General features: G+C 45.4%; 1 protein-coding gene across 9 annotated transcripts in view; it reads left to right on the top strand.

Annotated features, from left to right (window-relative positions):
- Positions 1-13,178, top strand: part of RUBCN (rubicon autophagy regulator) — an 80,954-nt gene that overhangs the window by 50,405 nt on the left and 17,371 nt on the right. For 3 of the 9 annotated variants that reach the window (XM_006713831.5, XM_047449268.1, XM_006713827.4), the window contains 6 exons: positions 185-229; positions 2,367-2,462; positions 3,435-3,550; positions 4,831-5,041; positions 5,600-5,701; positions 8,268-8,342. In XM_006713831.5, coding sequence (XP_006713894.1) covers positions 185-229; positions 2,367-2,462; positions 3,435-3,550; positions 4,831-5,041; positions 5,600-5,701; positions 8,268-8,342 — 645 coding nt within the window. The remainder of the gene's footprint in view (positions 1-184; positions 230-2,366; positions 2,463-3,434; positions 3,551-4,830; positions 5,042-5,599; positions 5,702-8,267; positions 8,343-13,178) is intronic. The other 6 variants (NM_001145642.5, XM_005269374.4, XM_017007543.2 and 3 more) reach the window with 4 other exon arrangements.

Here is a 13,178-nt window from a genome sequence, read left to right as displayed (position 1 = left end):
GATCTGAGGAAATATGGGTCACGCACAGCTTCTTGGACAAGCCATCCGTCCTTCACAACTGGGGTTTCCTCTTGGGAGTTCCATCCCCACTTCTGCTGGGTAAAATTTAGGACACTTTTTTTCTCTCTCTGTATTCTCATTGCTCTATCTGGACTCTCCTCTGCACCTGTCTGTCTACCGGCAGGAGGCCCCAGGAATATCACCATTATAGTTGAAGATCCCATTGCAGGTTTGGGAATCGGTCCTCCACCTCCTCTTTGTTCTGTTTTGTGACCACCTTTCTTAGTTCAGAACCTCCTTCAGTCTGGTGTCAAATCAAGTCTGGCTAGCCTGGTCTTGTTGTGATGCTTGGAACTGTCTATAAAATGATACCAGTATTTCATATGATGTGTTTTCTATACACAATTCCAAATGCCTCGTTCAGTCTCTCAACAGCTTCTGGGAGGCAGAGTCAAGACTTATCAATTCAGTTTTGCCCAAAGGTGAAACTGAGGCCTGCTATTTGTCTGAGGCATCATGATGAATCAGTAGCAGACTTTTTTTTCTTTTTTTAAATTTTTTTTACTTTTTTTTTTTTTTTTTTTTTGTAGAGACAGGGTTTCACCGCATTGCCCAGGTTGGTCTTGAACTCCTGGCTTCAAGTGATCCTCCTGTCTTGGCCTCCCGAGTGCTGGGATTACAGGCGTGATCCACCACACCTGGCCCAGAATTTTTCTTATAACTGAATACTTCCTATGGATTACTTTATTTTCCTTGAATTAACACCAGAATGTATTTTATCCCCTTTCTGTGGTCTTAGATATACTTGCATGTTTGGTTTTTTTGTTTTTTGTTTTTTTGTTTTTTTTCCCTCTCCTGCAGTTCCGTTTCCTTTTTCTTTCACCTGTTTTCATTTCCCTATAAATCCCTGCACCCCATTCCAGCTATTGCATAGGATTCTTCTAGTTATTTCAGTCTGTTTCCTTGGTGTTCATGGTGGTGTTCAAACTGAGATTTGTGTTCCATCCTGGGTACCATAATTCATGGACATGAACACTGGAATGTGTCTGCAAGGCAGAGTATTGAGAGAGGGCTGAAAGCCGTGGCCTCCTGGAAGTGGGTGAGGCCATTGGGTATGTTAGCTTGGAAAACAGATGGTTAAAGAGGAATAAAGTCTGTAGGACCATCATTTAGAATAGCGTTCTTCTTAAGGAGATAAGAAATTGGAAGAAGGCAGATAACGAGTGTAAGGGAATTCTAAGAATTAGTTAAATGGTGGCATTAGGAGGTAGTGAACTCAGTAAGTAAAGGCTGAATGGCCACATGTTGTAAAGAGGTTAAGGTCGTGTTGGAGTTTGTGTTGTGTGCTGTTTGGGAATCTTGAAGGTCCCTTCCAAGTCATATCATGGTTTTTTACCAAGGCATCGTGGCGACTACTAGTTTGTCCTCAGTTCAGTAGGAAGGAACAGAGCCCACAGCCAGGGCTACCAGAAGTCTTTGAGGCCCAAGAAGAACACAAAATTGTCTCTTGCACAGAGTAGCATTTTTTGTGAGAGGAGCAAGTTGGTAACATCTGTCAGGGAAATGGGTTAGATGCAGCTCAGTCATTCACTCTCCCACAGCATCCTGCTCATTTTCAAGCACCCACCTGCTTTTCCACCTGTTCTTCCTTCTGTGGTCCTGGAAATGTTGTGTTTCCTTGTGAAGAATATCAGTTTCTCATTCCTGCAAACCCTGCCTGCTACTGTTCTCCCTCCCAGCTCTCGCTCTTCCTGTCCCAGGCATTGTCTGTCTCGCCAGCCTTCCCTCCCTCCCTTCTTCAGTAAGGCCGGGCCGAGCCCCGTAACGGAGCCCTTTGCTTACAGGGCCCTCTCCCTGGGCTTCTCCAGCACTGCCTTGATGCTTCTTTTTAGGATGCTGCTGAATTTTATTTCCTTAGTGAATGTAAATCTTCTGATGTTACTTTAAAACCTAATGTCAAGATGTCAGAAAAGTTTCAATGCACTTGTCTTTGTTTTACCATCTAAAGACTTTTCTAAATTGGTTTGTCAAGAGGATAGGAATCAGCTGATATTCCTGTAATGTTTGGTTAAAAGATGTAAGGAAAGAGAAGCAAATTCCATGAATCCATTTTGATTTGATTCTTTCCTTTATGTTGCCCCATTCTGGATCACGTTTCTTCTTTTCCACTTAGAATGTACTGACCTGCCATCTCCTTCCCTCCCTGTGTTTCTGTACCCTTGGGCTGTTCCGTTGGTGTGCCGCCTCTCTCCTGCTTGGGAGGGCTTTGGGAAGGGGTGCAGTTAAGTGTTGAAACTCCAGAGTTGGGAATGTACCTGTTGCTCATTTCGTATGTGTTTTTACTCGCTGGTGGTCATCGTCATTAGAATCCTGCAATGATAAGGCGAAGTTGAGAGGCCCTTTGCCCTACTCTGGTCAAAGCAGTGAAGTCAGCACACCCAGCTCTCTGTACATGGAATATGGTGAGTACTAGGAAGGCCAGGGCTAAAATTGTATATTTTCTCTGCTCACCCCTTGTGCCTGCTAAGTTCTGAGTTTTGGGGTTCATCTCAGCTCTCTGGAGGGTACACACTGTTACAGTCTCAGTCACTCTTTTGTCATTTTTAACCCCCGTGCTAGAAATCACACTGCTCTGCCATTTCTCTTGCTTCTCTCTGACTTGGGGGTCCCACCCTCTCTTACGTGCTGGGTGTTCGCACCGGGTACGTCGGCTGGTCCAGATGGGATGGCTCTCTGAGTGGATGAGATGGACCTTGAAAAGAGGCCTTGGAGTATCTGGGCTTAGTAACCAGCAGACAGACTCTATGTGGAAATCATGCAGAGGAGGAAGCCATTTGTGTCCTTTTCTGCCTCCCAGCCCAAAGTTCTACATTTTTATTTTGTTTTTTCTTTACTGTATGGTACGAGGGAGAGCATGTTCTCTTTAATTTTAGATGGCAGAAGGATTCTCTCTGTTTATTCTACCGTTTTCCAACCAAGAGGCTTAGTGCTCTGGGATTCTAAGAGTCCAAGAAATTCTTTTTTGTTTTGTTTTTTTTTTTTTGAGACAGAGTTTTGCTCTTGTTGCCCAGGCTGGAGTGCAGTGGTGCGATCTTGGCTCACTGCAACCTCCGCCTCCCAGGTTCAGATGATTCTCCTGCCTCAGCCTCCTGAGTAGCTGGGATTACAGGCATGTGCCACCATGCCCAGCTAATTTTTGTATTTTTAGTAGAGATGGGGTTTCACCATGTTGGCCAGGCTGGTCTCAAACTCCTGACCTTGTGATCCGCCTGCCTTGCCCTCCCAAAGTGCAAGAAATTCTTTTAGAAGGTGGACATCTTCTTCCAACCTCTAATTCCCAGTTACCTGGGAAGACTTGGGAGCATCTTTAATGACAAAAGCTTAAGACTTCCTGAAGAAGCCTGGCTGTTTCATCCACATTCCATTTCCCACAGAAGGTGGTCGGTACCTGTGCTCAGGGGAAGGCATGTTCCGAAGACCATCAGAAGGACAGTCCCTCATCAGCTACCTCTCTGAGCAAGACTTCGGCAGCTGTGCCGACCTGGAAAAGGTGGGAAATCGAGGGCCTCATGAAGAGCTCATGAGTTGGGAGATTGGGTCTGAAGGTCTGTGGTGCCATTTGTTCTGATGAGGTTTTGGGTATAGATTACAGTAAAGATAAGTTCACGGTAAAGGGAAGCTCAGCAAGTTCTGTTTCTGAGGAACTCTGCAGGGAGCATGTGCCCCTCACTGAGTCCAAATTATTAGCGATTTTATCTTAGAAGCCAACCTGGGCAGAGAAGCATCAAGTTTGTGTGTGTGTTTTTGTTTTTTTGAGACAAGAGTCTTGCTCTGTCACCTAAGCTGGAGTGCAGTGTCACGGTCATGGCTCACTACAGCCTCAAATTCCTGGGCTCGAGCAATCCTCCCGCCTCAGCCTCCCGAGTAGCTGGGACTACAAACATGCACCACCACACCTGGCTATTTTTTTTATTTTTTTGTAGAGATGGGGGAGGTCTCCCTGTGTTGCCCAAGCTGGTCTTGAACTCCTGGGCTTGGCCTCCCTAAGTGCTGGGATTAACAGGTGTGAGCCCATGTGTCTGGGGTCTTGAACTCCTTGGCTTGGCCTCCCAGAGTGCTGGGATTCACAGGTGTGAGCCACTGCGTCTGGGGTCTTGAACTCCTGGGCTTGGCCTCCCAGAGTGCTGGGATTCACAGGTGTGAGCCGCTGCGTCTGGGGTCTTGAACTCCTGGGCTTGGCCTCCCAGAGTGCTGGGATTCACAGGTGTGAGCCGCTGCGTCTGGGGTCTTGAACTCCTGGGCTTGGCCTCCCAGAGTGCTGGGATTCACAGGTGTGAGCCGCTGCGTCTGGCAGCATTGTTTTTGCTGCATGATTGCGGTTCCCTTGACTCTGGCACCTTAGGTAAATACTGTTTCCAGAATCAAATTCTATCTTTTGTTCTAAGGCTCAGATAAGCAATAAATGACATCTGTGTAGCATTTTATAGACTACAAAGCACTTTTATCTTGAGACATAGCATTTATCTTAATATTTTGTGTACAGGTGTATGATTTTGGGAAAGAACCTGATTGAAATCCTGGGCCTCTTCTCTATCATATTTTTATGTAGAAATGAGACAGGAAGGGACAGGCTTGGCAAAGTAAGAGAGTGAAGAAAACCTAGAATAGGTTTTCCAGCCATCAGCTTTCCTCGTAGTAGAAATGTCCATTTCTCCAGGGTGTTTTTGGCAGGAACAGTTCCTATCTTGGAAACTCCCTTTTCCACATTATAATGAGTATGTCATTCAATACTTCTAACCCTTTGCCTGTTTGGTGCTCTCCTTCCGCCAGGAGAATGCCCACTTCAGCATCTCAGAGTCCTTAATTGCTGCCATCGAGCTAATGAAGTGCAACATGATGAGCCAGTGCCTAGAGGAGGAGGAAGTGGAAGAGGAAGACAGTGATAGAGAGATCCAGGAGCTGAAGCAGAAGATCCGCCTTCGGCGCCAGCAAATCCGCACCAAGAACCTGCTCCCCATGTACCAGGAGGCTGAGCACGGAAGTCAGTGGAGCCTGTGGATGCTTCTGTTCCCACATTTTCCCAACTTCAGCATAAGGCCTGGTGCCCAAACCAGTGGTTCCTCTGCTGTCAGATGTTTCTATGTAGTCCTACTTTTTTTCTATCATGCTAGGAATACTCATCCTAGAGTCGCTCCGTTTCCTGCATCAGAAATACCTGCCTTCCAGGCCAGGCAGAGTGGCTCACGCCTGGAATCCCAGCACTTTGGGAGGCCGAGGCGGGTGGATCACTTGAGGCCAGGAGTTTGAGACCTGCCTGGCCAACATGGTGAAACCCCAGCTCTAAATATATATATGTATATATATAAATAAAGGAATAGCTCCCTTCCCAAATAGCTTCCTGATATGAGGAGACCTAAGAACACTGCTCCCAGATTTGCTTCCCAGATAGTAGTACCTTCTATTTACTTGAAACTTTCTAAAGGGAAAGTTTCCATTTCTCTCTGTTGAGGTCATATCAGATCCCTTATATTGTGACACTGGAAGGACAAGAAGACCTCTTTCTGCCCTGTTTATTCCTTTTTGTTTTTAAACATAACAGGCTTTCGGGTCACCTCCAGCAGCTCCCAGTTCAGCTCACGTGATTCGGCACAGCTCTCTGACTCTGGCTCTGCTGATGAGGTTGATGAATTTGAAATCCAAGGTAAGAAGTGACACTTTGTTACAAGGGAACTTTTATTCTGTTTCTTTCCATTTAGAATGATAAGCTGCGAAGTGTTTCCTAAGTAGAAGATCTTCATTATGGATTGTTGTTAGCTATTGTAAGGGACAGCCTTCTGCTAAAAACAAAACCCCTTCACAGTTTCAGTAGGGAAGAACACTGGAAGCAGGTGTTCCAGGTGGATGGAGTGGCTGCTCGTTGATGTCACCCTGACGCGTCCTCCTCAGTGGTGTCTTTCTCCTGGGTTCCCACTCTGACTCCTCCTTTCAGCTTGTAGGGCTGGTCCATACCACTTGAAATTAGAATCCTATTCTCTTGGGTTCCATAACACAACTGAAATTGTTTCAGAGTGTTCAAAAGAGAAAAGGACAAAAAGAATCATTGGGGGCAGGGGGACAAAAGAGGAAAAACATCAGGTTTACAAAGTAGAGCTTGAATTTCTGCCCTTGCGGTCGGTGCTCACTGCTCAGCACAGTCACAGACTCTGTTTTTATTGGTGGTGGTGGTGGTGGTAGGAGTATCAGCATAGAGGAACAGTGGGGTTCCAGTCTGGGAAGGCAGTTATGTTAAATCAGGTTAATGTCCCACTCCTGCAAATCATAGATCTCTTCAAGTTCCCATCAGCAAAACAAACACACAAACAAAAAAACAGTTCAGGGACAAACGCTCTTCCTTCATGGGTGAAACTAAGAGTAGTTTCCTTACTGAAGTGAATGGTATCTATAATTCTCTGTTACAACATTGTGTATGTAGACAGAGGTGAACTGTATCTATAATTCTCCATTATAACATAATGTGATGACAGATAGGTCTTGTGTTGCAAGAGGCTTTGATTTCCTGTTTACACAATCTAGAGAGCCCATTCGCCTGCACAGGCCTCCAGATGGAGGAACCACATGTTTCTTCCCATTCAGAAACTCCGTTTTTTCACACATTTTCGAGGTATTCAGGAAGTCTTCCTTCTATGTTCTCCTTAATGTCTCTGATTTCTATGTATGACAACAATAGGTAGTCATTTAAAACTCCTTTTGTTTGTTTGGTTGTTTGTATGTGATTTTCCAACTCCTCTCCAATTCTCTACCATCAGCTGGGTGACTTACAATTTAGCTCTGACACTAACTACCTGGAGTTAGCACGGATCCTGCAGCTACAGTCCTGTGAAATTAATTCCGCTTCAGATGCCAGACACAGGTCACCAAGCTACCTGCCCTTCTGCTTGTAGGCTGACTACAAATTCAGAGATTCCCACGACCCCCTTCCCCAAGGCAGGATAATTTGCTTGAATGATGCCCAGAACTTGGGAAAGCTTATGCTTATAGTCTGTTGTAAAGGATCCAAATGAGCAGCCACATGAAGAAGTACACAGGGACTAAGGAAGAGATCACGAGCACAGGAACTCGTCCTGCCCCCGTGGTGTCTGGGGCACCACCCTCCCAGGTGCATTGATGTGTTCGCCAACCAGGAAGCCTGGACATCATTGTTCAAGTTTTTATTGAAGTTTCATTATATAGGCACCATCGATTAAGTCATCGGCCACTGGTGACTGGGCTGAGTCTTCGATCCCTCTCCCCTCCCTGGAGGCGATGGGGGAGTAAAAGCTCTAACCCTCTAATGACGTGGTTGGTTCTTTCGATAGCCCCCAATTGCCCCAATTGTGAAGCTGTCTATCTAGGGGCCTGCCAGGAGTCTCCTCATTAGCATAAACTCAGGTATGATTGAAAGGGGCGTATTTTGAATAATTTCTTGAATGATTCAAGAAATTCCAAGAATTTTAGGAATTCTCACCAGGAACTGGAGACAAAGACAAAATATCTATTTACTGTTATACCATAGTCTGTGATTGACTTCATCTCCTAATTAAAAAAAAAGAAAGAGGGTCTGACCTCACTCCCAGGATCAGCAGTCAGAATTTCAGGAGGAGAATAGTGAGGTAAATTCAGATCCGTCCACTTGACTACCACATCTGTTTCCTGCAGCAAAGCAGGGATCCGGGAAGCTGTGCAGTCTGTAAGGAGCCTGCCGAGAGAGAGGCCCAAAGCACACTCCTGTTAGAAACTGTTGCTGCGGTTGTAGGCCCTGAGGAGATGTTCAATCAGTAATTCTCTAGTCGTTTCAGAACAGAAATCCTTAAAGGAAAAGACCTTAGGCCGGGGTTTCCCAACACGTGGGCCAGATCATTCTTTGCTGTGACGGATTGGGCTGTGGACTGTAAGATGTTTAGTGTCATTCCTAGCCTCTACCTACTAGATGCCAGTGGTAACCCCTCCCCAGTATCAAGACAATCAGAAATGCCTCCGTCATTGCCATAATCACCCGTGGCTGAGAACCACTGTCGTAGGAGGTCCTTGAGGCTGGGCTTGGCGTAGGAAGTAGCAGTAACTCTCCTCCAAGCTAGAGTGAGCACCTACCCAAGGATGCAAGTTCCTAAACGCCATTTCATGTTTGGGAGCAAATGGCAAGTTTTGATTCCAGGAACATATGGTATAGAATATTAGTTTATTTCCTGCTGGAATACTAAGGGCCCCCTTTTATCATCATTATTACACAGATGGTAGCGAAGGATCTAACCTGACTCACATATCAAAGAACGGACTGTCAGTGTCACTGGCCTCGATGTTCTCAGGTAGCCTACTTTGCAAGCGTGGATGTGCTTGTAGATGCATGTGTGAGAATGTTGCACCAGCTTTCGTATATACTTAATCATGTGATAACTGTCAAGGTTACGAGGACTGTAGGGGCTGGAGAACTAGTTGGAAGAAACTGGAGCTAAGCCAGAACAACAAGCCAGGAACAATTCAGATACTCACTGATTCTTCCTCATGTGACCCCAACAATCTTCCTCACAAGTTTGTCCTTGGTGATCCTTCCCTATGGTGATAAATTTAGATTTAGTGGCCATTGTGACTGATGGAGGTAGTGGACAGTTTAGAAAGGAATAGTTAGATGAAGAATTTTAGTTCAAACCTATACCTAAGCTCCTGCCACACATTCAGACAGCAAAAGTAGGATAGAATGGTATGAAGCTTACTGTCTCTTTAGAACTTTGAATTTGCAGAGCCAACTTTTAGAAAGCCATCTCTTCTGGGTACTTTGTGTACAAGTAGGATTTACTGCTGTAGATGTTTGTTCTTGCTTTGTGATCCAAATAAGTAGGTTTCCTGTAGGTGAGGTTAATTGAAAGAAAGTAGCAGTTTTCTACTCAGAATGGCTTTAAAACACAAAAACAACAACAAAACTCAGAACTTTTGTATTTTTTTTGAGACGGAGTTTCGCTCTTGTTGCCCATGCTGGAGTGCAATGGCGCAATCTCGGCTCACTGCAACCTCTGCCTTCCGGTTTCAAGCAATTCTCCTGCCTCAGCCTCCCAAGTAGCTGGGACTACAGGCAGCTGCCACCACACCTGGCTAATTTTTGTATTTTTAGTAAAGACAGGGTTTCACCATGTTGGCCAGGCTGGTCTCAAACTCGTGACCTCGTCATCTGCCTGCCTCGGCCTCCCAACGTGTTGGAATTACAGGAGTGAGCCACCACGCCAGGCCCAGAACTTTTTATTAAAACTTTTAATATTGTTGGGCATTAGAATTTGAAATAATTGTGTAAGATTAGATCAAGATTTAGAGAAATAAAGACAAATATTACAGGAGCTCCCGTGTTCTCACTCATATGTGGGAGCTAAAAAAGTTGATCTCATGGAGGTAGAGAAGAGAGTGATAGTTACAGAGGCTGGGGAGGAGGTGGGTTGGGGCGTAAAGAGAGGTTGGTTAGTGGGTTCAACCATACAGTTAGAAGGGATGAGTTCTAGTGTTCAGTAGCACAGTAGCGTGGCTGTAGTTGACATATTCTGTATTTCAAAATAGCTAGAAGAGATTCGAAGTATTCCCAACACAGAGAAATGATAAATGTTCAATCAATGGATATTCTAAATACCCTGCTTTGACCATTACACATTGTATGCATGTATCAAAATATCACTTGTGCCCTGTCAATATGTACAAATATTATGGTATCAACTTAATTTTTTTAAGATTAGAGAAATAAAAGTAATTAGGTTCCTTTTTTTCCTACTCCTGAACGACTGTCATTGATTCTAACATGAGTCTTCCCTGCCTGAGGAGGAGTTATCCTGACTCCCTTTCTAACTGGTTTCCGGTGTGTTTAGTCCCAGTCCTCTGTGGGGGCATGTGTTGAGTGTCAGCCACTTCTCCCTCAGAGCATGTCCAATCTGCACTCACCACCAGGCAGGCCTTGATTTGGTCTTTCTAGCATGCTTCCTTTCCCCATTTTGGGGGCTTTAAAATTTTTATACACATGACAGGTTTTACACTAAGAATGTGAAATGTTTTTCAATTAAAAAGCTGCTTTTTAGGCTGGGCATACTGACTGTTTATGTCAGTAATCCCAGCACTCTGGGAGGCTTGAGGTAGGAGGATTTCTTGAGGCCAAGAGTTGGAGACCAGCCTGGGAAACATAGTGAGACCCCATCTCTACAAAAACATATTTTAGAATTAGCTGTGTGTGGTGGTGCGTGCCTGTAATCCCAGCACTCTGGAGGCTGAGGTGGGAGGATTGCTTGATCTGGGGAGGTTGAGGCTACAGTGAGCCATGATCATGCCACTGCACTTCATCCTGGGTGACAGAGCAAGACCCTGTCTCAAAAAAAAAAAAAAAAGAATTCACCCACTTCAAGTGTACAACTCAACGATTTTTGGTAAATTTACCAAGTTGTGCAGCCATCACCATAATCCAGCCTGAAAACATTGTCATCGCCCCAGTAGTATCCCTTGTGTCAGTTTACAGTGAATTCCTGTCTCCACTCGCAGCCCCACTCAGCTGCTCGTCTTTCTGTCTCTGTAGATTTGCCTTTTCTGGACACTTCGTATAAATGGAATTATCCAATGTGTGATGCGTCATCTTTTGTGTCTTTCACGTCATCTACTTCTGCTGATGGTGTCTGCCAAGTTGGTTTGATATCTTTCATAGGCTCCCAATCTCAGACAGTCTTTTCAGCTTCTTTGGATTTAGAGTTTTGTTGTTGCTATTTTTTTCCCCATCTCCATCTTCTTCTATTATAGCTGCATCAATTTTTCTTTATCTTCCTTTGTAGATTCTTCTTGAATTTTCATCTTGTGCATAGATGTATCTAGTCAGGGTCCGATCAGGAGACAGAAACTACACAGTAATTTGAATAGGGAAAGTTTAATATAAAGAATTATTTCTACTATAATGTGGGAATCATGGAATGGGAAACTGGCTCATGAGGAGTAAAGAAGACTCTCAAGAGTACACAGGAGAAGCCTCACGTGGTGGCTCAGCCTGTCATCCCGGAACTTTGGGAGGCCGAGGCGGGCAGCTCACCTGAGGTCAGGAGTTTGAGACCAGCGGTGGCTCACACCTGTCATCCCAGAACTTTGGGAGGCCGAGGCGGGCAGATCACCTGAGGTCAGGAGTTTGAGACCGACATGGCCAACATGGTGAAACCCTGTCTCTGCTAAAAATATAAAAATTAGTCGGGTGTGGTGGTGTGCACCTGTAATCCCAGCCACTCTGGAGGCTGAGGCAGGAGAATTGCTTGAACCTGGGAGGTGGAGGTTGCAGTGAGCCGAGATCATGCCACTGCACTCCAGCCTGGGTGACAAGAGTGAAACTTCACCTCAAAAGAAAAAGGGGGTGCACAGGAGGAGCAGATAGAGGAGCAGTCACTATCCCTGGGGCTGAGATGGAGCATCTGGGGTAGGAATAAATGTGAAGGAGTGATACATCCCCAAGGCTGAGATCCAGACGTCCTGGCTTGCTGGATGGTGGGGTTCCCTGAAACACAGAGCTGCCCTGAGATGGTGCCAGGGGACGCTCTCCACAGGGAGGTGGCATGCCAGCAGCTGTCACCAGGAAACTGTTCTCTGGGGTGCTGAGGGAGGGTGTCCATGGGAGGTGCTATCTCAGAACCCAAGGGTACTGGTGAAAGCCCTCTGTGGGAAGGTGGTAGGCCAGTGGCACTCACTGTAAAGCTCTCCAGGGAAGCTCTTCCGGCAGGTGCCGAGGGAGCTGTTTATGAGGGCGTCACTCATGGCACTCTGCTGCAAAGCTGCCCAAGGTGTGCTTCCCCCGGAGTCAGCTTAGAGGAGCAACCAGAGCCAGCCGGAGAAACCCCTTCTGCCTCCAGCACCCCTCCAGTGCCCCCTACCACAAAACCTCACATCATGCCAGCTGGCAAAGGAGAAATGTTTCTGTGTCCAGCTCCGTTATTGCAGAGCAGGCAAAAACAAGGGCAGATTTGGAGTTGAAAGACAATAAATTGATAGCTGGCATAACAGATAAAAAGGAACGTTGATGAGCTATACTTTCTGACAAGTTTCAAAATTATATCCAATTCAAGGTCAAGGTAATCAGTTCCTTCTCCCCCATCCCTTTTTTAATTACTTTTTTTCCTCTTTATAAAACAAGAATACTTTGGGTTCTCCATTTTGAAGTGTTTCCTTTTGAGTCAGCAATTACAGAAAATGTGTTGAAGTTGGATTCCCAGATACGTTGGGTATCACCTTATCTTCTAGAAAGAAAGCAGGATGGAAACCGGCATCAAACTGGCCAGTACATTCTGAAGTTGACTCTTCTTGTGACTCACTTACTTTGTTTAAAAATTTGCATAGTTTGCTAAGGTACCAAGGTTTTAACCAGCTCTTCTCTGATCGTTCAATACCAGTGTCTGGACACGCAGCAAATTCTTCTCCTTATAACTTGTCATTGTTTTTGTTGTTACTTGTTTTTATATTTTTAAACTTTTTTCAGTCAGTAATAATGGCCTTATTCTATGAAGTTGGTGCAAAAGTAATGGCAAAAACTGCGATGACTCAACCTAATATCTGATGCATCAGAAGCACCTGAAATCAGTTCTTTTGCAAAACAATACTTGTTTTTGTACAAAAAAATCAATAAAAAGTTTCAGAATTGTGTTAAATTCCACTTGGATGCTGAGTGTCTCGGACCTCCTTCTTAAGTGCTCTCACTTGGGACACGTTGAATCCATCCAGATGGGCAGCTCCCCCTCTCTTCACTCCTCAGTTCTCTGGCTTAGACCTTGGTCTGCTTTTATCCAGATCTTCAGTAGGGTTTCACCCGTGTCAACTTAGTTGTCTGCTTGAACCGACCAGAGAGTGATGAGGGCTGCAGCGCAGGCCCAGGACCCGCAGAGCTGCGTGGTCCTTGGCCGGGGTCAGGGGTCATGGCCCCTTTGACGAGTGTGCTTCTCTCCCTCCAGTCCGGGGTCAGAGCCTTGCCTCCGAAGCTGGGTGGCCCCTCCCCACTCTTGGACGTATTCATGATTGCCTAGGAAGCCCCTGCATGTACCTCCGACCTCACTTTACCTCTAGTAAAAGGAAGAAACACGTTACAGTGTGACTCAATTGTATTTTCTGAAGAGAGAATGATTTTTTCTCTCAAAGGAAAAAAAAAAGGTTTCTTCTCT

Source organism: Homo sapiens, chromosome 3 (genome assembly GCF_000001405.40).
Source record: "Homo sapiens chromosome 3, GRCh38.p14 Primary Assembly".
NCBI classification, from domain to species: Eukaryota; Metazoa; Chordata; class Mammalia; order Primates; family Hominidae; genus Homo; species Homo sapiens.
This window is presented reverse-complemented; position numbering and strand designations above follow the sequence as displayed.